This window comes from Homo sapiens, chromosome 4, assembly GCF_000001405.40.
Source record: "Homo sapiens chromosome 4, GRCh38.p14 Primary Assembly".
In the NCBI taxonomy this organism is placed as follows: domain Eukaryota; kingdom Metazoa; phylum Chordata; class Mammalia; order Primates; family Hominidae; genus Homo; species Homo sapiens.
In genome coordinates this window covers 23,785,908-23,808,373 of record NC_000004.12, presented here as the reverse complement: position 1 = coordinate 23,808,373, position 22,466 = coordinate 23,785,908, and the positions used below count along the sequence as shown (strand labels likewise).

Below are 22,466 nucleotides of genomic sequence, written 5' to 3'. Positions count from 1 at the left end.
CTCTGTTGGTCAGTGTCCAGCTCAGAAGCCAGGGACAGTGTAGTACTGCTGATAATTATAAACTTCTTCCAAATGAAATGAAAAAAATTGTGCAATTACTCAGGGTTTTTTTTTTTTTTTTTTGAGATGGAGTCTTGCTCTGTCTCCCAGGCTGGAATGCAGTGGCGCAATCTTGGCTCACTGCAAGCTCCGCCTCCTGGGTTCACGCCATTCTTCTGCCTCAGCCTCCCGAGTAGCTGGGACTACAGGTATCCACCACCACGCCCGGCTAATTTTTTGTATTTTTAGTAGAGACGGGGTTTCACCGTGTTGGCCAGGCTGGTCTCAATCTCCTGACCTCGTGATCTGCCCACCTCGGCCTCCCAAAGTGCTCAGAGTTATTCTTTTTTGGAGAAAATGAAATAGCTTTCTATGCAAGCCTCTTTAAAGAGATATTTTGTGTGGGTGAGTATATGTTATATTGTGACTCTAAGTTCAATATTTAGAAATATTCAGTTTTATGGAAAGATGAATAATTATAGAGATCTGCTATACAACATAGTACCTATAGTTAATTATGCTATTGTACACTTTAAAATGTTGAGAGGATAGATTTCATGTTATTCACACACACACACATACACACACACACACACACAAAAGAAAAAAACACAACACAAGGAAATTTTGGAGGTGATGGATACATATAGTACCATGATTGTGATGATGGTATCAAGGATATAGGCATATGTCCAAACCCATCAAAATGTATATGTTTAATATGTACAGTTTTTTGATATATCAATTATGCTTCAGTGAAGCTTTTTTAAAAAGTAGTTATGCATACTCTTATTCTATAATTTTCATGTTTTCTGACTTACCAGTATGTTTACTTGCATGTTAGCTTTTATTTGCATCTTACCTTTTAAATAGACTAACCTGGACTTATTCACATTAACCAGACTTAGACACTAAGCAGGGATAGTAGCACACGGTACGTGAATGGGGGACACTTTGGACAAATTTAATGCTACAATTTTGTTTTTTCTCTAAGAACACCCCCTAGTAGTAGGCATTTATTGACTACCTAATGAATTAGGTTAGATAATCAATATTAACGGCAAGAAAGAAAAACACTTCTCAGCATTTTTTAGAATCTTGGTATATCTTTCTATCTGTACCTTTCCATGACCCTCCACTCCACTCACCTCTTCTTTTAGTTGGAATACACCATACACTCAATTTATAATATCTTTGCAATTTTTGAGGCAGTCAGGTTACAGCTAATCTAGGAATGAACACTAGTATTTCACTGCCAAAGTTGATATGTAGTTTCCTTAGCATAGAAAAAAAGATTTTTACATTATTCTGACTTGCAAACGTAGAGAGCTGAAATCTACATTATATCAAGCTCTTCCTTGTTACCTACCTTAAAGGACATTTTAGAGAGATCACCCATTAAAAGCATTAAATGCAGTACTTGGCATAGCTAAGAGTTCAACAAATGTTCATCTCTCTACTACCTTCTGTCTTTTCTTTGTCAAACCCCTTTTATCAGGAGTAGTTTATTTGATGAGAAACAACCACTGTATGTTTTCCTCCAGTAACTGGGAAGCTCTAGACTCTTTTTGATAAAGATTTTAGTAATGTGAAGTCAGTTAATTCAGTCAGTTTCTTGTTTCTTTATTTATCCCCCACGTTTTGGTGTAGTGAGGATTTACTATAGATGTTAATGCAATGTAAGTCTTCAATTTTATTATCCACCCCATCAGCGTACTAGCTTTTATGAAAACTGAAGCTAAAAGTTATTTGATAAATGTACCATCCTCCTCAATAGTGAAAACTGGTCCGAAAATCATTTTTCGAGGAGCTGTTTCCAAAGGTTTAGAGTTCCTCCAAGCCTTTAAGAAGTTGAAAATGTCATTAAGCATTTTGATTTCTTTTCCTTTCATCTCCTGTTTAGAAATTAATGTCTTGAAAAATTGGCTGCAAATGTTAAGCTTTTTTAAAGATATGAAATCTATTCATCTGTCTAATACAACTGCAACATGTTTAAAAGAATCAGTTCTTTGCTAGACATTTTGGCCAATCTTAGAAAGATTTTTGTCTTTGCTTTCTAGGCATTTGGATGCCTTTTATTTTCATTTTTAGCAGTAGGAAAATCAAGCACTTCAATAATTTTCTCAAATAAGCCTTTCAACATGTATTCAATCTCTGATCTTTGTAAGGTAGTGAGGCATGGCCCCATTCCTGTGTTTCATAAAAAGAGATGGTAGAAAAATAGGTAATTCAAGTAATTGTGGAACACCCCTTCGGTTTCCTGTTTCTCCCCTCTAGGTTATATCTTCTTTTTACTGTAGAATGTATCAGTATCCATTATAAAAGGTCCTCTGGTTTATATTTTGTATGGGATCGTTGTTGCATACAACTTCGTATAAAGCTGCAATTCAGAGACTGTCCCAGTATGTCTGCATATGGGCATACATATGGTCGATTTTCGCTTTAACTTCAAATTTCCTTGAATACATAGGCTGTGTTTATTCCCATAATGGTAGTTGAGCAATTTCTTTGCAATGTCTCAATTTCTTTCTCTCACTTCTGCACTTCCCCCTCCTCTCTATACAGTAGTAACTTTTCTAAAAGGCTCATTAAAAAAAAATTCCTTAACACCCGTGAAAGCAGGCGCCAGGAAATTTAAGTTTAGATAGCAGTCCCATCACATTTGGCTGTTTGACTAGAGCTGGCTGCATAAACAGAATGGAATGTGGTGTTATGATTCCCTTGCTCAAGTGTGTATCGATGGTCTGGGATGTGCCTCTTCATCCATTTCTACTTTCTGACTGCCAGGATGTGCTCGGTGCTCTGAAGTGGCACAATCACAGCCTTCAATTGAGACATACAATCTACATGGAAGGGCGTCAGGCAGCCTGCACTGGTTACTCTGCTTCATCTGGTCATTTATTTAGTCTCAATGCTATTGTTCGTAGAGTTCTGTTTTACCAACTGTTTGTTATCTCCTACCTTTGATTTTCAGAGGTGATTTTTATGAGTGAGATTCCTGCAAACATGTAGCTACTTCTTACACTTAAATCTGTAAAAACAAATTATGGAAATCTTTGTTTCTTCACTCAGCTGAGCTACTTGAGCAAGGTTTTTTTTTTTTTCTGTGATAAAACACCAAATCTAACTTCCCTTCTCCTTTGTATTGGAGAGTCTCAGAGAAGAAGGACCACTCTTAGGCATCTTTGATGTAATGAAGGGAATGGGATAAGTGTTCAAGATGATTAATTGATTAGTAACTGATTGATTTTATAGCAGATATTCATTGATAGTCTGTTATGTTTTGATGCTTTGTTTAAAATACAGTAGTGAATAGAACAGATATGGTCTCTACTGTCATGAAGCTTTTATTATCCTGGGGAAGTGGACATTAAACAGTAGATAAACTATTAATTACAATTGGAAAGGAGAGTTTTCCATAAGAGCAACTAATAGGAATTCTGACCTCACTGCAAGTCTCAGAAAAAATGTGATTGTTGAGCTTAAGGTTGTTGTAGACAGTGTGTGTATGTGAGAGGCTTGGGAGTGGTGCAGTGTGAATAGGGTGTCCCAGTAGCAGGGAAAGAGCATGTGCAAAGGCTTTGGGAAGGAAGGTGCACAGTATATACTAGACTAATAGAAGCTCAGTGTGGCTGGAAAAGAGAGTCACAGAAAGAATGCGATATAAGAGATAAAGCCCATGATGACAACAGGCCCAGACCATACAGGGCCTTGTAGGTCTTGTTAATGATTTAGGTCTTTCATTAAAAGTTATGAGAAGCCATTGGAATATTTTAGAAGTTAATGGACGTCATTGGATTCCTGTTTCCTTAGCAAAGACTATCCTAACAACAATGGAAGAATAGATTGGAGAAGAATAAACATGGACACAGATCCAAGTTAGGAGATTGTTTGTTATACTAGTCCAGAAAGAGAAGCTGGAGGCTTGGCTTAGGACAATGGAATAAAGAAAATAGATTACAGAGAGATTTAGGGGATAAAAATTAATAGGACTTGAGTGGTTAGACATGTGGAGAGGAACAAGAGAAAGGAGTAAAGGGAGGTAGTTAAATTTCTGTCCTAAATAACTGGCTAGATGGTGTTCATTTCACTAATACAAGAACATTGGGAAAGAACCAAATGGGGAGAGGGCAAGGCTGGAGGGTCGGGCTTCGGTAATGTTGGTGTAGTGTGAGGTTCCTCAGGCACAACCAACCTGAGATGTCAAGTAGACAGTTGATTATTTGCACCTGAGGCTCAGATGAACTTACTTTCCTAATAAAAAATAGAGGCGAGCATGTTACATGTGGTAGAATAAGACCAGACATTGGTAAGCTTATCATCCAGGAAGATAAAGGGTCTGCAAATTGTTCAGTTACATTTCACAAATGCTTGTCGGGTGCCTACTCCTTACCAGATTCTTGGCCAAATACTGGGCATAAGAAAAGGAAAACCATTCAGTAAATAAGAAAGGGCATCTTTTTGCTTTCAGTCCAAATTACTCTTTTCATCACCCAAGACCAGGGACTCTCAGTACATCCAAAGAAAACTCTTGGGCAAGCTAAGTCTGTACCTCAGTTCTCTGCTTCTAGTCTTTGCTTCAACCTAGCTTAAATCTCTGCAACCTTAAATTCATTTTATCATTGTTTGTCCTTAGTATACATACAAACTAGTTGGTGAGCACATTCTTTATATTAACTCCTTATGTTCTTAAAACTTTGAGAGACATCATAACTTTTGGCCTTATCTTCTTGGAACAAGAGGTATAGGATTGCTTCTTACACTAAGAATGCATTTCTGTGCTGTAAAAAAAGAATTTATCCTCAGGCTATAAATATTATTCCTGTATTTTGTAGGTTATAAATTACTGATGACTTTCAGACTATGATGATATTGACTCCACTTGTGAAAATTAGGCCACACCCCTCTAGTCTGTTCCTAAAATAAGACTAGATTTATTGGCAAAGTGAAATTTATAGCCTCTTTTATTTAGCTCTTATTCTTCGGAGACTCATGGCTTAAAATGGCCTACATTTTAAGACTGTATTTCTTAAATTATTGTCTTTGGACCACCTGCATCAAAATAGCTGAGGTGTGCTTGTTAAAAATGAAGGTTGTAGAACCTTATCTTACATTTTTTTTTAGTACAACTAGATAAAGCCCAATCATTTGCATTTTTAATCAGCACCCCAAGTAATTTTTATGTATAGTAGAGTTTAAGAACCACTCTTTTGAGGACGTCAGAGTTTGTTCATCTCAGTATTAGAATTCTGAGTTAATGAGAAATGTAATAGTTTTGTAAGCCAGGTCAGTTTCATAACAATTTTGATTCATAATCAAGTCACAAATGTTCAAATATTTAATAGGTATTGTTCCATGATTTGAAAAAAGAATGCACTATACAGATTTCTTTTCTAACACATCAAGTTCATCTGAGAGTAGAACAGAGACAGATAGGAAAGGTAGAAAAGAGTAGAGGTGAAGAGAAGAATCTATGTGAGCAAGAAGAGATTGATACTGAAGAAATGGGAATTAATACTTGGTTCAAATGTAGTCTTTCCTTCCATTGTAGTGTATGTTTTGCTCTAATTGCCATGCTCAGTGGGGTTTCTTATGCATGATTGTACATTTATGAATGTTTCTAGAGGGTTAGCTTTTTTTTTTTTTTTTTTTTTTTTTGAGATGGAGTCTCGCTCTCTCGCCCATGCTGAAGTGCAGTGGCACAATCTCAGCTCACTGCAACCTCTGCCTCCCGGGTTCAAGCAATTCTCTGCGTCAGCCTCCTGAGTAGCTGGGATTGCAGGTGCCCACCACCACACCTGGCCAATTTTTGTATTTTTAGTAGAGATGGGGTTTCACCATCTTGCCCAGGCTGGTATTGAACTCCTGACCTCATGATCCACCTGCCTCGGCCTCCCAAAGTGCTGGGATTACAGGTGTGAGCCACTGTGCCCGGCCGAGGGCTAGCTTTTTTCCCACTCCAGAACTCTCTCCTTCCTTCCCCCCATAGGAAGAGCGCCGTGTGATTTATGTCGGTAAAATCAGACCTGACACAACACGGACAGAACTGAGGGACCGTTTTGAAGTTTTTGGTGAAATTGAGGAGTGCACAGTAAATCTGCGGGATGATGGGTGAGAATCTTCAAGATTATTTCTTGTTTAGAAGCTGACGTATGTAAAAAATTATGGCCATAAGATTACTGGGATGGGAGTTGCCAATGTAAGTGCTTTGACAGATGACATGTTGAGTTCAGAACCTTATTTATTTTCTTTCATCCCTGTTTATTAATCTTTCTAGTTGAGATTTCCTGTCCCAGAAATAAGTATTTAGCTGCTTGACAGGACAATCACACTGATAAATGGATTCAGTGGCTCAGACGTTGGCACTGGAGAAGTCTCACAAAGTAGAAAGGGTTACAGTCCCATATACTAATACTTCTTAACCAGCTTTGAACTTTTCTTTGTCCGTTGCAGAGACAGCTATGGTTTCATTACCTACCGTTATACCTGTGATGCTTTTGCTGCTCTTGAAAATGGATACACTTTGCGCAGGTCAAACGAAACTGACTTTGAGCTGTACTTTTGTGGACGCAAGCAATTTTTCAAGTCTAACTATGCAGACCTAGGTATGGATTTTATTGTACGTGGAATGAGGAATCCATAATGTAGAGCTCAAGATGGGAACAAACATAATCCGTAGGCACCTTGGGTTGAACCATCACTTTATTTTACTAAAGGGAATGTTTGAATACAGATTTTTAAGAAAAACGTATAAGACAGTTTCAGAAGAAAGGGGCCTAGGTTTTGGCAAGAAAGGACAGAAGTAAATTCTTTGTACTATCTACTCAGGTGCTGAAAATTGTGGTAGGTATGTATGTGGATATTGTGTGTTTCCACATGTGTTCATGATTTCTGTATGTGTGTTGTGTGTGCATGCAGCTTTATATTTTGTGAGTGCATGTATTGTGTGTATCTCTGTGGATATTGTGTGTGTCTGTGTGTGTTGTGTGAATATTAAACATGTATGTGTGTAGTATTGTGCTTTGTGTGTGCGTGTGTTATGCAGATGTGTGTGGCTATCATGTGTCTTTGTGTGTGTATGTATGCAGGTATTGTATGTGTCTACATGTGTTTATGATTCATGTGTGTGTGTGTGTGTGTGTGTTTGTAACCTGATTTTGCCTTCCAGGCCTACCCTGAATCCTTTCACGAACCATAGCATTGCCATCATTGTTTTATGGAACAGAATATGCAAGTCTCATTTTCTCTTATTATTTCACAGACACTTAGAAATATCATCATTTTCTATGAACTACAACTAAGAGAGAAGAAAATTAAATTTCATATACTAAATCACACTCTGCTTTCTTTAAAAAAAAAAAAAAAAAGAAAGAAACACCTGTTATTTGTTGAGTGCTTCCATATGCCAGACACTGTGCCAGGAGCTTTGAAAGCATTTTCCATTTAATTACTAGAACTATCCTAGGAGGTGTATATTATTACTATCATCCCCATTTTACAGATAAGGAAACTGAAGCATACATAATATTAATTTTTCCTGTTATAAAAGCTGTACAGACTCAAGGGGTAAAATATGGTAAATATAAAAAGGTATTAAGAAAAAAATTAAAATCATGTATCAGCCTGTCATCCAGGAATAACCACTATTACCAACGAAGTGATTTGCCTTCCAGTATTTTGTCTCAGCATGTCTAATTTCTTACAGTTGAATTTATATATATATTTATTTATATATATATAAACTTCCAAATTCTACTTTTCTCAATTAATATATAAATTCGTGTTCTGCTGTGACTCACAAGATTAAAAATAATTTATTAACATACTTTAATGGTTGTACAGTATTTTGCTGAGTGAATAGTACCATTATATTTAGTCATTACATTATAGCCAAACATTTAATTTTTAATTTTTCAATATTATAAATAATGCTAAAATGGACATCTTAATTTCCTTTCCAATTTTAATTTTGTTCCTTTGCATGTCATTCCCCATCTAATGTGTGCATAGTAAGCCTTTAAATTCTTTGAGGAAGGAAAGTGATAAGTGTCTTGTGCATATGACATAATTATATTAAATTTATTTGTAATATTTATCATGAAATTAACATATAAATCTAGTCCTCATCATTATTAGATATCTATATGCACTTTCTCTGGGTTGGTAAAAAGAAGGAAACAAATACAAATACAGGGATTTTTTTTCTTCTGTCCAACGAAGGGATGTCTTCCTAGAGTAATTGATACAGGTGATGTGCATTGTTCACAGGGAATATGCTATAATTCACTCCACAAGCTAAATAGATAGTAGGAAGCAGTGGAGAGGCAGCTGACTGTTAGAGAGATAGCAGGCTAGGGATGAAAATATAGAATGTGGCAAGTCATTTGTTCAAATGTTGGCTGATAAAAACAGTCAAGACGGATTGAAGTCTTGAGTTGATTTGACTTATTTTCTTCAGTGATGAAGGCCAGGGTGTTTCTAGTCTCTCAAAACATCTAGAGTTTAAAATAAGCTACCTAGAGGGGCCTTTAGATCACGATTCATCACTGGTAGAGAGGGAGGATTGGATGGTATTTCCAAATTGAACTGGAGCCTCCTTGAAATATTTCTAAGAAGGATGCTTCCTCTCTCGTTATCTCCCTGCCTAGCCGGCAGCAATAGAAACTTTGCCATTGCTAAGCTCGCTCTGTATTTTCTGAAAAGTATGTTTGATGTGCATTGTAGTAGGATGGATTTTTCCAATTCCCTCAAGCTGTACGATGGCACAAAGGTAGTTTTTTTCTGAGCTCCATCATTGTATAGTCTGAAGAGGCCAGGCTTTGGAATCCCGCAGACCTGGGATTGAAATCTGACTTACCACTGCCGTTGGGCAAAGAATTCAACCCCTTCAGTTCTGCTTCTTCATTTGTAAAATACCATATAGTGTTATTGTGAAGATTAAATAAATGTTTGTGATGCTATTAGCACGTGTCTGGCATAACATAGGTGCTCAATAAATAGTGGCTATGGTTATAATTTAAAATGATGGGAATGAGAAGTTAGAAGTGTAAAGTCGTTTTAAAATGGAAGAATCGACTCTAGGAATCAGCTTTGGAACTCAAAACATTTTTCCTGTGTCTTGTCTTTGTTCCCTGAAGAATTCAAATATTCTTGTGCTCACCATATTCAGTGTTCATGCACATTTCAGGGCATAAGAATATACTGGACTCAGGGGTTAGGAGCATACACATATGTCACAATAGTAAAGCAAAAATGATGTGACACAGATTAGTTTTACCAAGACAGGAAAGTTACTTATCATTCTAGATAGATTTAACCAATTTTCTTTCTGTTTACTTGCTCCCCCAAATTAAGTTAGCTTATACATCCTATTTCTCTACTACTGAAACTAGATAATGGTGACTACAATATTGTTAGAGCAAAACATAACGATTTCAGCTACTATTTATGACCCAGTATTATAAATGAGAGTGAGAGATTAAAATGACTTGATCAAGGTTAAAACAGTGAAGCCCAGATTTAAGTTCTAGTTGCCATGAATCAGTAGTCTGTGTGTCTTTCTATTTACTGTCTTATAAGCAAATGGATCTTTCTAAAGACCTCAACGAAAAAAAATCAGAGGGGAAAGACCAAGAGAAATTAAAGTAGGACTACAGGATCCAAACAGAAAGATGGGTCAGTATTATGAATGTAATAGTTTTGATTAGGAATTAGTTATGTTACATAACTTAAACATTTAAAAAAATAAATGACACATACATTATAAATTATTCATTAACTGAAATGAATGTATTGTATTATCAGTATTCTTGATTATACACGTAACTTTATGTATTTCTTTGCCATTCATTGATAAATCGTTCCCACATCCCAATATAAATATTTTCAACCATGGTTTTAATAATATTTTGGTGTTTGAGATTAGTATATTCCTTCAACAAATATTAATTTGAGTGCCTCCTTTGTGCCAACAGTTTTCCAGGTGCTGGGAATATAAGTGTGATGTGATTTGTTTCAAATAATACAGTATCATTATTTCTAACAATTTATTTTGAAAAATTAGAGTGGCTTGAGTTATTACTATTTTCATGCGTGTCCATGTGAAGAGACCACCAAACAGGCTTTGTGTGAGCAGTAAAGCTGTTTATTTCACCTGGGTGCAGGCGGGCTGAGTCTGAAAAGAGAGTCAGAGAAGGGAGATGGGGTGGGGCCGTTGTATAAGATTTGGGTAGGTAAAGGAAAAAGGGGGGTTGTTCTCTGGTGGGCAGGAGTGGGGGTCACAAGGTACCCAGTTGGGGAGCTTTTGAGCCAGGATGAGCCAGGAGAAGGAATTTCACAAGACAATGTCATCAGTTAAGGCAGGAACAGGCCATTTTCACTTCTTTCGTTGTGGAATGTCATCAGTTAAGGCAGGAACCGGCCATCTGGATGTGTACGTGCAGGTCACAGAGGATATGATGGCTTAGCTTGGGCTCAGAGGCCTGACACCTATAACATTTTTATTATATCTTACTGTGCTCCAATATCCTTTCATTAGCGGGAGAGAAATTGGTGGAGTAGATGTTATTGCCTCAGAAATTAAATGTAACCACATTCTATCTCATGCAACAAAAAATATTTTTGGTTGTTTTCTGAGTAACAGTGTGCCTGTATAAGTGGGTATATATGTGAACACTATATTTCACAGTGAAGAAACTCTTGAGAACTACTATTTCACAATTTTTTTAAATATTTGCTAATAAAATACAGAAACACTGAAATTCTAGAGTTTGCTTAGAATATTGCAAAGTAAGGAAATTTAAAATATTCTCAAAGAGTTCCTCAAGGAAAGGTATGTGTGTATGTCCCTGATGGTTCCAGGCTGACTTTTATCACACAGACTCCATCACTGGGGGAATCTTCCCTCTTGATCTACAATGCAAGTGGAATTCTGATTTCAGACTAATCTCTAGCAATGAGCTAGACATTTTTTTTTTTGTCTCTACAAAAAAGATTTTGATTTGAACAGCAGTTGTTTGTGAGGCCTTAGCAATACAAGAAAACCATTCATTAGCCTATGAAGAGAAGCGTTGAAGCCAGTGTAATTTAAGAATTGACTATTTAAGATGCTATTGAGGAAAGATTGGCCAGTTTTGTCTCCGTTTTTTATGATTGAGACTGTAATTGTTCTCGTTGCTCTTACCTTAAAAAACTTGCTGAAAAAAACTCAGTAAAGACCAAAGGTGATCAGAATGAAAGGAAAACATAAATAAAGACATTTCTTTGTCTTTAAATCTAGGTATGTAAAGGTAGATTGAAACTTTGGAAATGGGATGGTCAGGCCGGAGCTAGAGAGCTTGGTTTGCAATCTTGTCAGCAAAACAACATTTTAGGTCAACGATTATGCCTCTGTAGTATCTAGTATTATATCCTTCTATTACTTTGACCATTTCGATTTTGTAATTTACTCTGGGAAAAAGCATGGGAATTCTTGTATTTTGGTAGAATTGTTAGTTTTCCAGAATGGTTTTGTTTTCCTTCAAATAAATGTTTTCAAAAGAATTAACGTATTTATAAGAGGCTTTTTATTATATTTCCAAGCCCCCCTTTGTTACTTGCAAGACCAGCAGAAATATCTAGCTTTTTCATAGAAGTCAATGGAGAAAAACCAGGAATATTTAACAGAATTTTACTTTGCTTTCTATATTGCTAAAACATATCTATTTTGTTAAGGTCTATTTGAAGTAGCAGTGAAACTGCTCAAAAGCTTACTTGGACTAGTTTAAGAGTCCAAGAAGGGCATGGCTTTATTTATACCTGCACTTTATTTCTTCTTTCCGAATTTACTCTCCTGGGATGTGAAGCATTTCTCTCAACCTTCCAATTTGGGGAGAATTTGCACCAAAAATTCTGGGAGGCCAAGAGGTACGGAAGTAGAGGACCACATCATATGTCCCCTCCTGCCTCAAAGAGAAGCATCAGGTTGAAGTTTAGGGGAAATTCTCATGATTCTTTCTCTCATACTCTACTGGATTTTATGCTCAATTAAATTAATCCCATTGAATAGGAAAATTAGTTCCAGCTTGTACTCTCACGTCTACATCTAAGTTATTGAGGAACCATGGGCAAGTCATTTGACGTGTCGGGGGAAGGGGAGGGTGGTTATCTGCCAGAGATATATTAACGTGTGCTCTGCCTAACTCCCAGGGTGTTTAAGCCTAAACGAGTCAACAGGTGCGTGTTTTTGAAAGCTCACTACTCCCCATCCTCTTCCTATATATCCATATATATCCAATAAAATCTGACTATTGTTTTCTAAAGTATATTGATTGGAAGAGTTGTTATCGAATCCAGTAATCTTGAATTGGAATGATTGAGTTAATGGCCATCAGCAAAGTGTGTATCTAAACTGGCTTGTGTTTTTTTTCAGATTCAAACTCAGATGACTTTGACCCTGCTTCCACCAAGAGCAAGTATGACTCTCTGGATTTTGATAGTTTACTGAAAGAAGCTCAGAGAAGCTTGCGCAGGTAACATGTTCCCTAGCTGAGGATGACAGAGGGATGGCGAATACCTCATGGGACAGCGCGTCCTTCCCTAAAGACTATTGCAAGTCATACTTAGGAATTTCTCCTACTTTACACTCTCTGTACAAAAACAAAACAAAACAACAACAATACAACAAGAACAACAACAACAATAACAACAATGGTTTACATGAACACAGCTGCTGAAGAGGCAAGAGACAGAATGATATCCAGTAAGCACATGTTTATTCATGGGTGTCAGCTTTGCTTTTCCTGGAGTCTCTTGGTGATGGAGTGTGCGTGTGTGCATGTATGTGTGTGTGTATGTATGTGTGTGGTGTGTGTGCTTGGTTTAGGGGAAGTATGTGTGGGTACATGTGAGGACTGGGGGCACCTGACCAGAATGCGCAAGGGCAAACCATTTCAAATGGCAGCAGTTCCATGAAGACACGCTTAAAACCTAGAACTTCAAAATGTTCGTATTCTATTCAAAAGGAAATATATATATATATATATATATATATATATATATATATAAATTAAAAAGGAAAGAAAACTAACAACCAACCAACCAACCAACCAACCACAAACCACCCTAAAATGACAGCCGCTGATGTCTGGGCATCAGCCTTTGTACTCTGTTTTTTTAAGAAAGTGCAGAATCAACTTGAAGCAAGCTTTCTCTCATAACGTAATGATTATATGACAATCCTGAAGAAACCACAGGTTCCATAGAACTAATATCCTGTCTCTCTCTCTCTCTCTCTCTCTCTCTTTTTTTTTTCTTTTTCCTTTTGCCATGGAATCTGGGTGGGAGAGGATACTGCGGGCACCAGAATGCTAAAGTTTCCTAACATTTTGAAGTTTCTGTAGTTCATCCTTAATCCTGACACCCATGTAAATGTCCAAAATGTTGATCTTCCACTGCAAATTTCAAAAGCCTTGTCAATGGTCAAGCGTGCAGCTTGTTCAGCGGTTCTTTCTGAGGAGCGGACACCGGGTTACATTACTAATGAGAGTTGGGTAGAACTCTCTGAGATGTGTTCAGATAGTGTAATTGCTACATTCTCTGATGTAGTTAAGTATTTACAGATGTTAAATGGAGTATTTTTATTTTATGTATATACTATACAACAATGTTCTTTTTTGTTACAGCTATGCACTGTAAATGCAGCCTTCTTTTCAAAACTGCTAAATTTTTCTTAATCAAGAATATTCAAATGTAATTATGAGGTGAAACAATTATTGTACACTAACATATTTAGAAGCTGAACTTACTGCTTATATATATTTGATTGTAAAAACAAAAAGACAGTGTGTGTGTCTGTTGAGTGCAACAAGAGCAAAATGATGCTTTCCGCACATCCATCCCTTAGGTGAGCTTCAATCTAAGCATCTTGTCAAGAAATATCCTAGTCCCCTAAAGGTATTAACCACTTCTGCGATATTTTTCCACATTTTCTTGTCGCTTGTTTTTCTTTGAAGTTTTATACACTGGATTTGTTAGGGGAATGAAATTTTCTCATCTAAAATTTTTCTAGAAGATATCATGATTTTATGTAAAGTCTCTCAATGGGTAACCATTAAGAAATGTTTTTATTTTCTCTATCAACAGTAGTTTTGAAACTAGAAGTCAAAAATCTTTTTAAAATGCTGTTTTGTTTTAATTTTTGTGATTTTAATTTGATACAAAATGCTGAGGTAATAATTATAGTATGATTTTTACAATAATTAATGTGTGTCTGAAGACTATCTTTGAAGCCAGTATTTCTTTCCCTTGGCAGAGTATGACGATGGTATTTATCTGTATTTTTTACAGTTATGCATCCTGTATAAATACTGATATTTCATTCCTTTGTTTACTAAAGAGACATATTTATCAGTTGCAGATAGCCTATTTATTATAAATTATGAGATGATGAAAATAATAAAGCCAGTGGAAATTTTCTACCTAGGATGCATGACAATTGTCAGGTTGGAGTGTAAGTGCTTCATTTGGGAAATTCAGCTTTTGCAGAAGCAGTGTTTCTACTTGCACTAGCATGGCCTCTGACGTGACCATGGTGTTGTTCTTGATGACATTGCTTCTGCTAAATTTAATAAAAACTTCAGAAAAACCTCCATTTTGATCATCAGGATTTCATCTGAGTGTGGAGTCCCTGGAATGGAATTCAGTAACATTTGGAGTGTGTATTCAAGTTTCTAAATTGAGATTCGATTACTGTTTGGCTGACATGACTTTTCTGGAAGACATGATACACCTACTACTCAATTGTTCTTTTCCTTTCTCTCGCCCAACACGATCTTGTAAGATGGATTTCACCCCCAGGCCAATGCAGCTAATTTTGATAGCTGCATTCATTTATCACCAGCATATTGTGTTCTGAGTGAATCCACTGTTTGTCCTGTCGGATGCTTGCTTGATTTTTTGGCTTCTTATTTCTAAGTAGATAGAAAGCAATAAAAATACTATGAAATGAAAGAACTTGTTCACAGGTTCTGCGTTACAACAGTAACACATCTTTAATCCGCCTAATTCTTGTTGTTCTGTAGGTTAAATGCAGGTATTTTAACTGTGTGAACGCCAAACTAAAGTTTACAGTCTTTCTTTCTGAATTTTGAGTATCTTCTGTTGTAGAATAATAATAAAAAGACTATTAAGAGCAATAAATTATTTTTAAGAAATCGAGATTTAGTAAATCCTATTATGTGTTCAAGGACCACATGTGTTCTCTATTTTGCCTTTAAATTTTTGTGAACCAATTTTAAATACATTCTCCTTTTTGCCCTGGATTGTTGACATGAGTGGAATACTTGGTTTCTTTTCTTACTTATCAAAAGACAGCACTACAGATATCATATTGAGGATTAATTTATCCCCCCTACCCCCAGCCTGACAAATATTGTTACCATGAAGATAGTTTTCCTCAATGGACTTCAAATTGCATCTAGAATTAGTGGAGCTTTTGTATCTTCTGCAGACACTGTGGGTAGCCCATCAAAATGTAAGCTGTGCTCCTCTCATTTTTATTTTTATTTTTTTGGGAGAGAATATTTCAAATGAACACGTGCACCCCATCATCACTGGAGGCAAATTTCAGCATAGATCTGTAGGATTTTTAGAAGACCGTGGGCCATTGCCTTCATGCCGTGGTAAGTACCACATCTACAATTTTGGTAACCGAACTGGTGCTTTAGTAATGTGGATTTTTTTCTTTTTTAAAAGAGATGTAGCAGAATAATTCTTCCAGTGCAACAAAATCAATTTTTTGCTAAACGACTCCGAGAACAACAGTTGGGCTGTCAACATTCAAAGCAGCAGAGAGGGAACTTTGCACTATTGGGGTATGATGTTTGGGTCAGTTGATAAAAGGAAACCTTTTCATGCCTTTAGATGTGAGCTTCCAGTAGGTAATGATTATGTGTCCTTTCTTGATGGCTGTAATGAGAACTTCAATCACTGTAGTCTAAGACCTGATCTATAGATGACCTAGAATAGCCATGTACTATAATGTGATGATTCTAAATTTGTACCTATGTGACAGACATTTTCAATAATGTGAACTGCTGATTTGATGGAGCTACTTTAAGATTTGTAGGTGAAAGTGTAATACTGTTGGTTGAACTATGCTGAAGAGGGAAAGTGAGCGATTAGTTGAGCCCTTGCCGGGCCTTTTTTCCACCTGCCAATTCTACATGTATTGTTGTGGTTTTATTCATTGTATGAAAATTCCTGTGATTTTTTTTAAATGTGCAGTACACATCAGCCTCACTGAGCTAATAAAGGGAAACGAATGTTTCAAATCTACTTCTGCTTTTCTTATTTATCGTAACCAAACTCCTGGCATGTTTCTCAGATCAGTACCCATTACTCGCTTATTATTATTCTATTTCCTCTCTGGCTCTCTTTCCCTTTCTCCTTGCTTTTCCATATTCATGGATGCATTTCAGCTCTAAGGTAACGTGCATCTTCTGTATCTTGTCTTTTTCTAAACGGCAAAGGCAGACGTGGTGGTTTCTATAACGAACGTTCAGAGGTGAAAAATGACAGGGGATTGTATCAAATGGATTAGCTCTATTTTTGTACTTAACCCTGGGAAGTGTGTATTTTTAAGTAGAAGCTCTTTCCCCTAGGGAAAAAACTCACTGAATATTCAGTATAGAAAGCGATTTTGTTGTAGATGGACTGAATATTTCTCCAAGACTTGTAACAGGATGCAGTTCCCCATCATATGGAAGTCATCGGGTTGGTTAAATATGGGATGAGCTGATAGCTGAAGACACATCGTGCTGTCAGGATGTCCACTGTGGCTGGTAGATGATGACGGTCCTAATGACAGAGAATGCCCTTGCCCAATTTCAAATGGTTGCTCCCATTGCCAATCATTTGCATTGCAAGACTCAACATATGCAACATTGGGGAAAGATGGCTAAATTATATTCCATCATTTCCATCTCCTAGAGAGAAAAAGAGTGTTTGTAAATATTGGAAATGTGATAAGAGCTATCAGAAGTGCATTGAAATCTGCTAAATAACATAAGATACACTCCCCATGGATTGTTTTATACCAATATAAAATTCATCAATTATTTATTTTATGGAAATGGAAAATAAAAATCTACCATTATCTTATCTTACCCAAATACTGAATTTATCTGCCACTGTGGATACCAAGCACTCCTGAGTTTCAATAGATAAGTCTCAGTTCCTGACTTGTCTTCTATTGTTGCTTAAATTGCATAAGGCATTTTTAATCTTCCGGTTGGAACCAGCAAGGACATTAGAACTCTTCCCTAAATGCTTAACTTTTTAACCTAACAAGTCTTTTGAGGGCGGAGAGAAAATGAGGGATTTTCAGAAGCAGCATTAGTAGCTGCTAGTTTGGTACTGGAATATCCTGATTGAGATAAAGGATTTATTTCATATTGTCCTCAAAACATTGACTCACTTTCATTCTTGTTGATACTAATGGCAAAATAATTATTAAAACCAAAATTGGGCTGACAAAAATAACATTTGATATAGCTTTTTTTAAAAAAAGATTGTCTCAATTCAAAAGTCCTCCAAACCAAATCTGTCTAAACTGTATACAATATGATATTGAATTGAAATTCTTTTTTAGCATTGTCGGTTTTCTCTTCTTTGTAGGTTTATTTAGCTAATCATTGGATATAATTTACAGCCCTAATAACGTTACTATACTGACTCGACTGTAGTGTTACTAGCTACACATTTATAACTCAGTATTAGTTATAGAATATTTTAACTAAAACATTCCATTTGCAATATTTATATTAATCTTATATTTTGCAATTTTCGTTGCTACTCCGTTTTCAAACACACTACAATCCATTATAAATCAATCTTTGTACTTTATCAAACGGCAGAGAGTAATAAAGAAGGTCACAACTCATAGAGGAGTTCCTTGGAGGTTTGTAACATCATGATTTAAATCTCAGAAAGATTTAATCAAAAGCTGAATTAATCCCTGGGGGAAAAGATAGTATATAGATTCTATTGATGGACACAAAGCAGCCTATTTCTGTTCACCGGTCTCTGTTAGCATGTTGGGGAAAAGAAATACAGATTTTCTGTGAGAGGGAAAATAAGATTTTCTTGTAGGGGAAGGATGGTAAGACATAACCTTCACGTTATGCTTCCTCCCTTCCACTCAAAATGGCCCATTTTTATTTTCCACTTACTGGGGCGTTATCTGTTCTCCTAGTGCATGGAGAATGTTAAATGTCCTCCACCCCCATGTTTCCCTTGTTATATTCCATGTGATTCCAGTAACTATGCAGAGTCCCAAAAGCTCCACTCTAGTCAAGCATGTGGAATGCGGGGTCACATGGGCTGGTTTCCAGGTCTCTTCTGTCGTAATCAGGTGACTGCCCTTGGGCGAATTCTCAGCACTGGGGACACTGGAAACTTGTAGAAGAAATGATTATGAAATGTGAATATTTTGAGGACCAGGTTCGACTGAAAAGCCATAACATTGTTTCATGACTAGGATGTAGGCTAAAGGCAAGAGGCCACCACTTTCCCACATGTCTCTTTTCTGTCCATAATTAATTCCAGAGGAATGTGACCATATTCTGTTCAGCTCAAAACCCATTACTTACCATTAGGTGACTTATAAAGGGGCAGAGTGAAATTAATTAATTGAAAAGAGTAAGAGAACTTTTAGAGGAGAAAACCAAATGATCCTATAATATTTTCATGATTAAATTAAATGAATGTAATTATACATGCACATATGCACACCAAGGCATTATTATAATCAAGGACCTTAAAATATTGTATCATTTCAAATTTATGCATATAGCACTTACTGAAGGCAAGTAGCTAGTGTGATACTTGAATTTGCATATTGACCATTTTCATATATTTTCATATATTAATTTATAGTAGGAAGAAGCTGAATTATTAGGAAAAATCCTGGGATGATTTAAAAAAAATATTGTGCTTCTACTTGTTTTTGAACATCAGGGGCACTTAGCAACATTATCTTTTTTTTTCCACATAGTTTTCTGTGATGGATTTTCAACAAGATGACATCCAAGTGAAAGCCAAAATTAAATGGGAAGGAAAGAATGTTAAGTGGTAAAATCCTAAATAGCTTATTAGACTACTTAATTGGAGGGAATTTATTTTTTGCTGCTGTTAGGAACTCTATAGTCAAGCTTCTCTTTAACAATACTAATTGATGAAAAAAAGTGGCTATAGTATTATAGTTACCACAAAATGCCCTCCAGCAAGTCATTTAAGGAAATTCACAGGTACTTTCCTTTGATGGACGTTGGTGTTGCTGAAAATCAAGTCCTGTCTTCATTCGTATCATCATTGCTTTCTCACTTCATTTCCAAGCAGGTCCCCTGCTTATTCCTCTCATAGCTTCACAGTGCGCTTGAAAGACTGACTTAATTCTTAAAAGAAAATTAGGACGTGCTTGTTCTTAGTTTAACCATCTACTAGGTTTTCGGCTTGATCACTATACCCTTTAATCAGATGTATGACTAATGTTTCATAGTGCTTAGAAGTATTGCCCTCTGTAAGCACTTCCCTATTTGTTGGCAGGAATGTGTATACACTATCACAGAATGATGATTAATTACTCTGCTTCCTAGAGAAGGGTAAGTTAGTAAACTGGTCACACGGCATGTGATGGAGCCGTGTTACTTTCATGTCAGGCAATTTAATGATCAAGTGCAATGCATGGCGTCATTCTCCTCCACTTATCTGTTTACATGGGAAAAGCATCCTGGTACTGATTCAATGAGCTGCCTTTTCCAGGGTCAACAGTCTGAATTGCAGTTCCGACTATCCAACAGGAAAACAATTGAACAGAAAGCAAAGATTGGAGTTCACCATCCACTGTTTGGCTTCAGTATTTGGAGGGTGGGAAGTACCTATCTGTTGGGCTGACTTTTTGCCATTTCCAGTGGCAGGGGTGGCGGCATTAAAGGGAGTGCCAATGTGTGCACCTGATGAATGAAATAATTCATAGACAACTCATAAGAGTTTCTTTGTCACTTGGTGCCAGAGTCTCATTGAGCCACTGTGTGCCATGGCATGCCATGGCAAAAACTAAGACCAAAAAGGTCACCTGAAGGAAAGAGAAGGAATCAATAGAAGGTTAACCAAACACATTTGAACTTCAGGCACGAAGCAAGGTTTGGACAGAGGTTTCCCGTGGTTTCTTATTTGCCTTGTATGCCAACTCATTCCATGAGATTATATAGACAAAATAGGCAATTGTGCAGCTAGGCTGTAGAATTGTGAAGAAAGGAATGAACCTCACATATTGGTTCTATATGTGAGGGTAGTTCTGTGTCACATAGACAGCCGCTGGCCTTTGATTAAAATCCTGTGTACTTCCTGGCTACCACGTTAATGGGAGACCCTTGAGGATTTCTCCACAGCTAGGTTTTTGGATAGAACTTTTAAGCTTTAATTTTGTGGAATGATAAAAAGATAATCCCTACATTCATAGAATACAAAGAGCTCTTTAGATTTCAATAATGCATTGAGGAGGCCCCCCTATTTTCTTCTCATTGTTTGTTTCAGTTCTACCATCTCAAAGTAGCCATTTCCAGCAAGGAACCTTCACCAACTTTCAGCATTCTGAAGGTTAAACTCAAGCCCCCTCAAAAGTCGTATCTGCTATATTTCATGGAGACATAACTTCATGGCATTGCAATAATTTAAAGACGTTATTTGCTTGTTTTTGCTGTCTTAAAAACTTAGCTTTATCAGCTCCTTTTAGAAACTTGATCAACTTGGAGACTCCCTTTCCTAGAATCAGCGCTTAGTGACACACCTGGTCATCCTGTATCCCAGCCATTGGACCTCAGGTAATGATGTTGCTCAATAAGACCTCTTAACATCCTCATTTTAAAATTAGAGAAATCTTCCTGTACTGGTAAGAAAGCAAATATGAAAAGCTGCCCTCCATTTGAAAGTCCAGTGAATTCAGGATGTGATTAAAACAGTGAAGATAATGACAAAGATGATGATGGTATTAGCTAACATTTATTGTGGATTTATCTTTTAGTCATTTTACTTAGCTGTTTACATGAATTTTCTTCATTAATCCTCCTAAACAAACTGTAAGGTAGGTATACAACTCTTCCCATTTTATTGAGGAGGAAATGGAGGGTTAAGGTAGCTGGAAAACTGCCCAGATTTGGGCAAAGTCCAGTTGGTCCTAAAACTTATTTTTGAAAGTCTCGTCCTATATATAATGCCTCCAGGAATAAAATATTAATCTTCAAAAGAAATCTGTTAGAGGTATTTAATTGTTAAAATTTGTGTACTTTTGTTGCTACCGTCTGACTGAAACCAAAATCTGCTTGTATTGCATTCATCATTCTATATTGATGGAACTTCTCCAACGTACTAGAAACTCCACATCTAGTTGGCAGTATAGTAAGAAAAAATTAAAAAATATATTTTGTAATAGCTTCGGTAGGACACTCTCACCAGAATCCTTATTGTGAGTATCTATATATCTATGTATCTGTGTATCTATCTATCTTCTATCATCTATCTATCTATCATCTATTTATCCATCTGTTTATCTGTCTATCCACCTACCTACATATATTGCATTTTGTGGAAAGTATATTGCTGTAAGACCAATGTCTATGAGGGTTGAGGCCAGAGATCCTCATACTTAATGGGCAGGAATGACCTAGTGCTGTGATTCCAAGGTGTACGATCTTACTTACAAGGGCTGATAACCAACTTTACAAAGAGGTAGAAACCTCTTCCATAAGTTAAAGTGGATTTGGAGGTATAAAATGGTATATTCTTACCACTGAGAAGTTAAATCACAAAAATAATCAAATTGAAGAGCTTTTTATGGTTTTTCAAGCACTATTAAAAAGTTTCTGGGCTGGGCGCAGCAGCTCACACTTGTAATCCCAGCACTTTGGGCTGAGGCGGGCAGATCACTTGAGGTCAGGAGTTCGAGACCGGCCTGGCCAACATGGTGAAACCCCAACTCTACTAAAAACATATGAAAATTAGCTAGGCGTGGTGGTGTGCACCTGTAATCCCAGCTACTTGGGAGGTTGAGGCAGGAGAATCACTTGAACCTGGGAGGTGGAGGTTGCCGTGAGCGGAGATTGTGCCACTGCACTCCAGCCTGGGTGACAGCGCGAGACTCCATCTCAAATAAATAAGTAAATAAATAAGTTTTCAATTTAGGGCTAATATAAGAAAAAAACTTAAAAAATAATCAGTCCCGATTTTGCAGCCATTGGTAAACCAGTCATTTTCTCAGAAAATTCGTCTGTCTTGGAGAACACAAACCCTAGGTTATTTTGACTAAAGTTCATAGAATTCTGAAAATGAAAGTTCATGACCAACTTTTCTTCTTTCCCACTTCATAATCTTAACTGACCTCATGCTCACTG

The 22,466-nt window shown here is 36.7% G+C and overlaps 1 protein-coding gene across 26 annotated transcripts in view, besides 1 other annotated feature; it reads left to right on the top strand.

Moving 5' to 3' along the window:
• PPARGC1A (PPARG coactivator 1 alpha) overlaps positions 1-16,353 on the top strand; it is a 680,885-nt gene extending 664,532 nt beyond the window's left edge. For 23 of the 26 annotated variants that reach the window (NR_148982.2, NR_148986.2, NR_148981.2 and 20 more), the window contains 3 exons: positions 6,029-6,150; positions 6,493-6,644; positions 12,449-16,353. Coding sequence is in view for 19 of the 26 variants with exons in the window: in NM_001354825.2 (NP_001341754.1) it covers positions 6,029-6,150; positions 6,493-6,644; positions 12,449-12,552 (378 nt within the window). In the remaining 7 variants the exon portion in view is untranslated. The remainder of the gene's footprint in view (positions 1-6,028; positions 6,151-6,492; positions 6,645-12,448) is intronic. The other 3 variants (XM_005248134.5, XM_047449551.1, NM_001354827.2) reach the window with 2 other exon arrangements.
• Positions 19,035-20,234: an enhancer, noted in NCBI's record as "MED14-independent group 3 enhancer chr4:23789763-23790962 (GRCh37/hg19 assembly coordinates)". NCBI's record gives its function as "activates an origin of replication core promoter dependent on BRD2, BRD4, P300/CBP and CDK7 cofactors, and independent of MED14, by STARR-seq in HCT116 cells {active_cell/tissue: HCT116}" and the evidence as "EXISTENCE:reporter gene assay evidence [ECO:0000049][PMID:35650434]".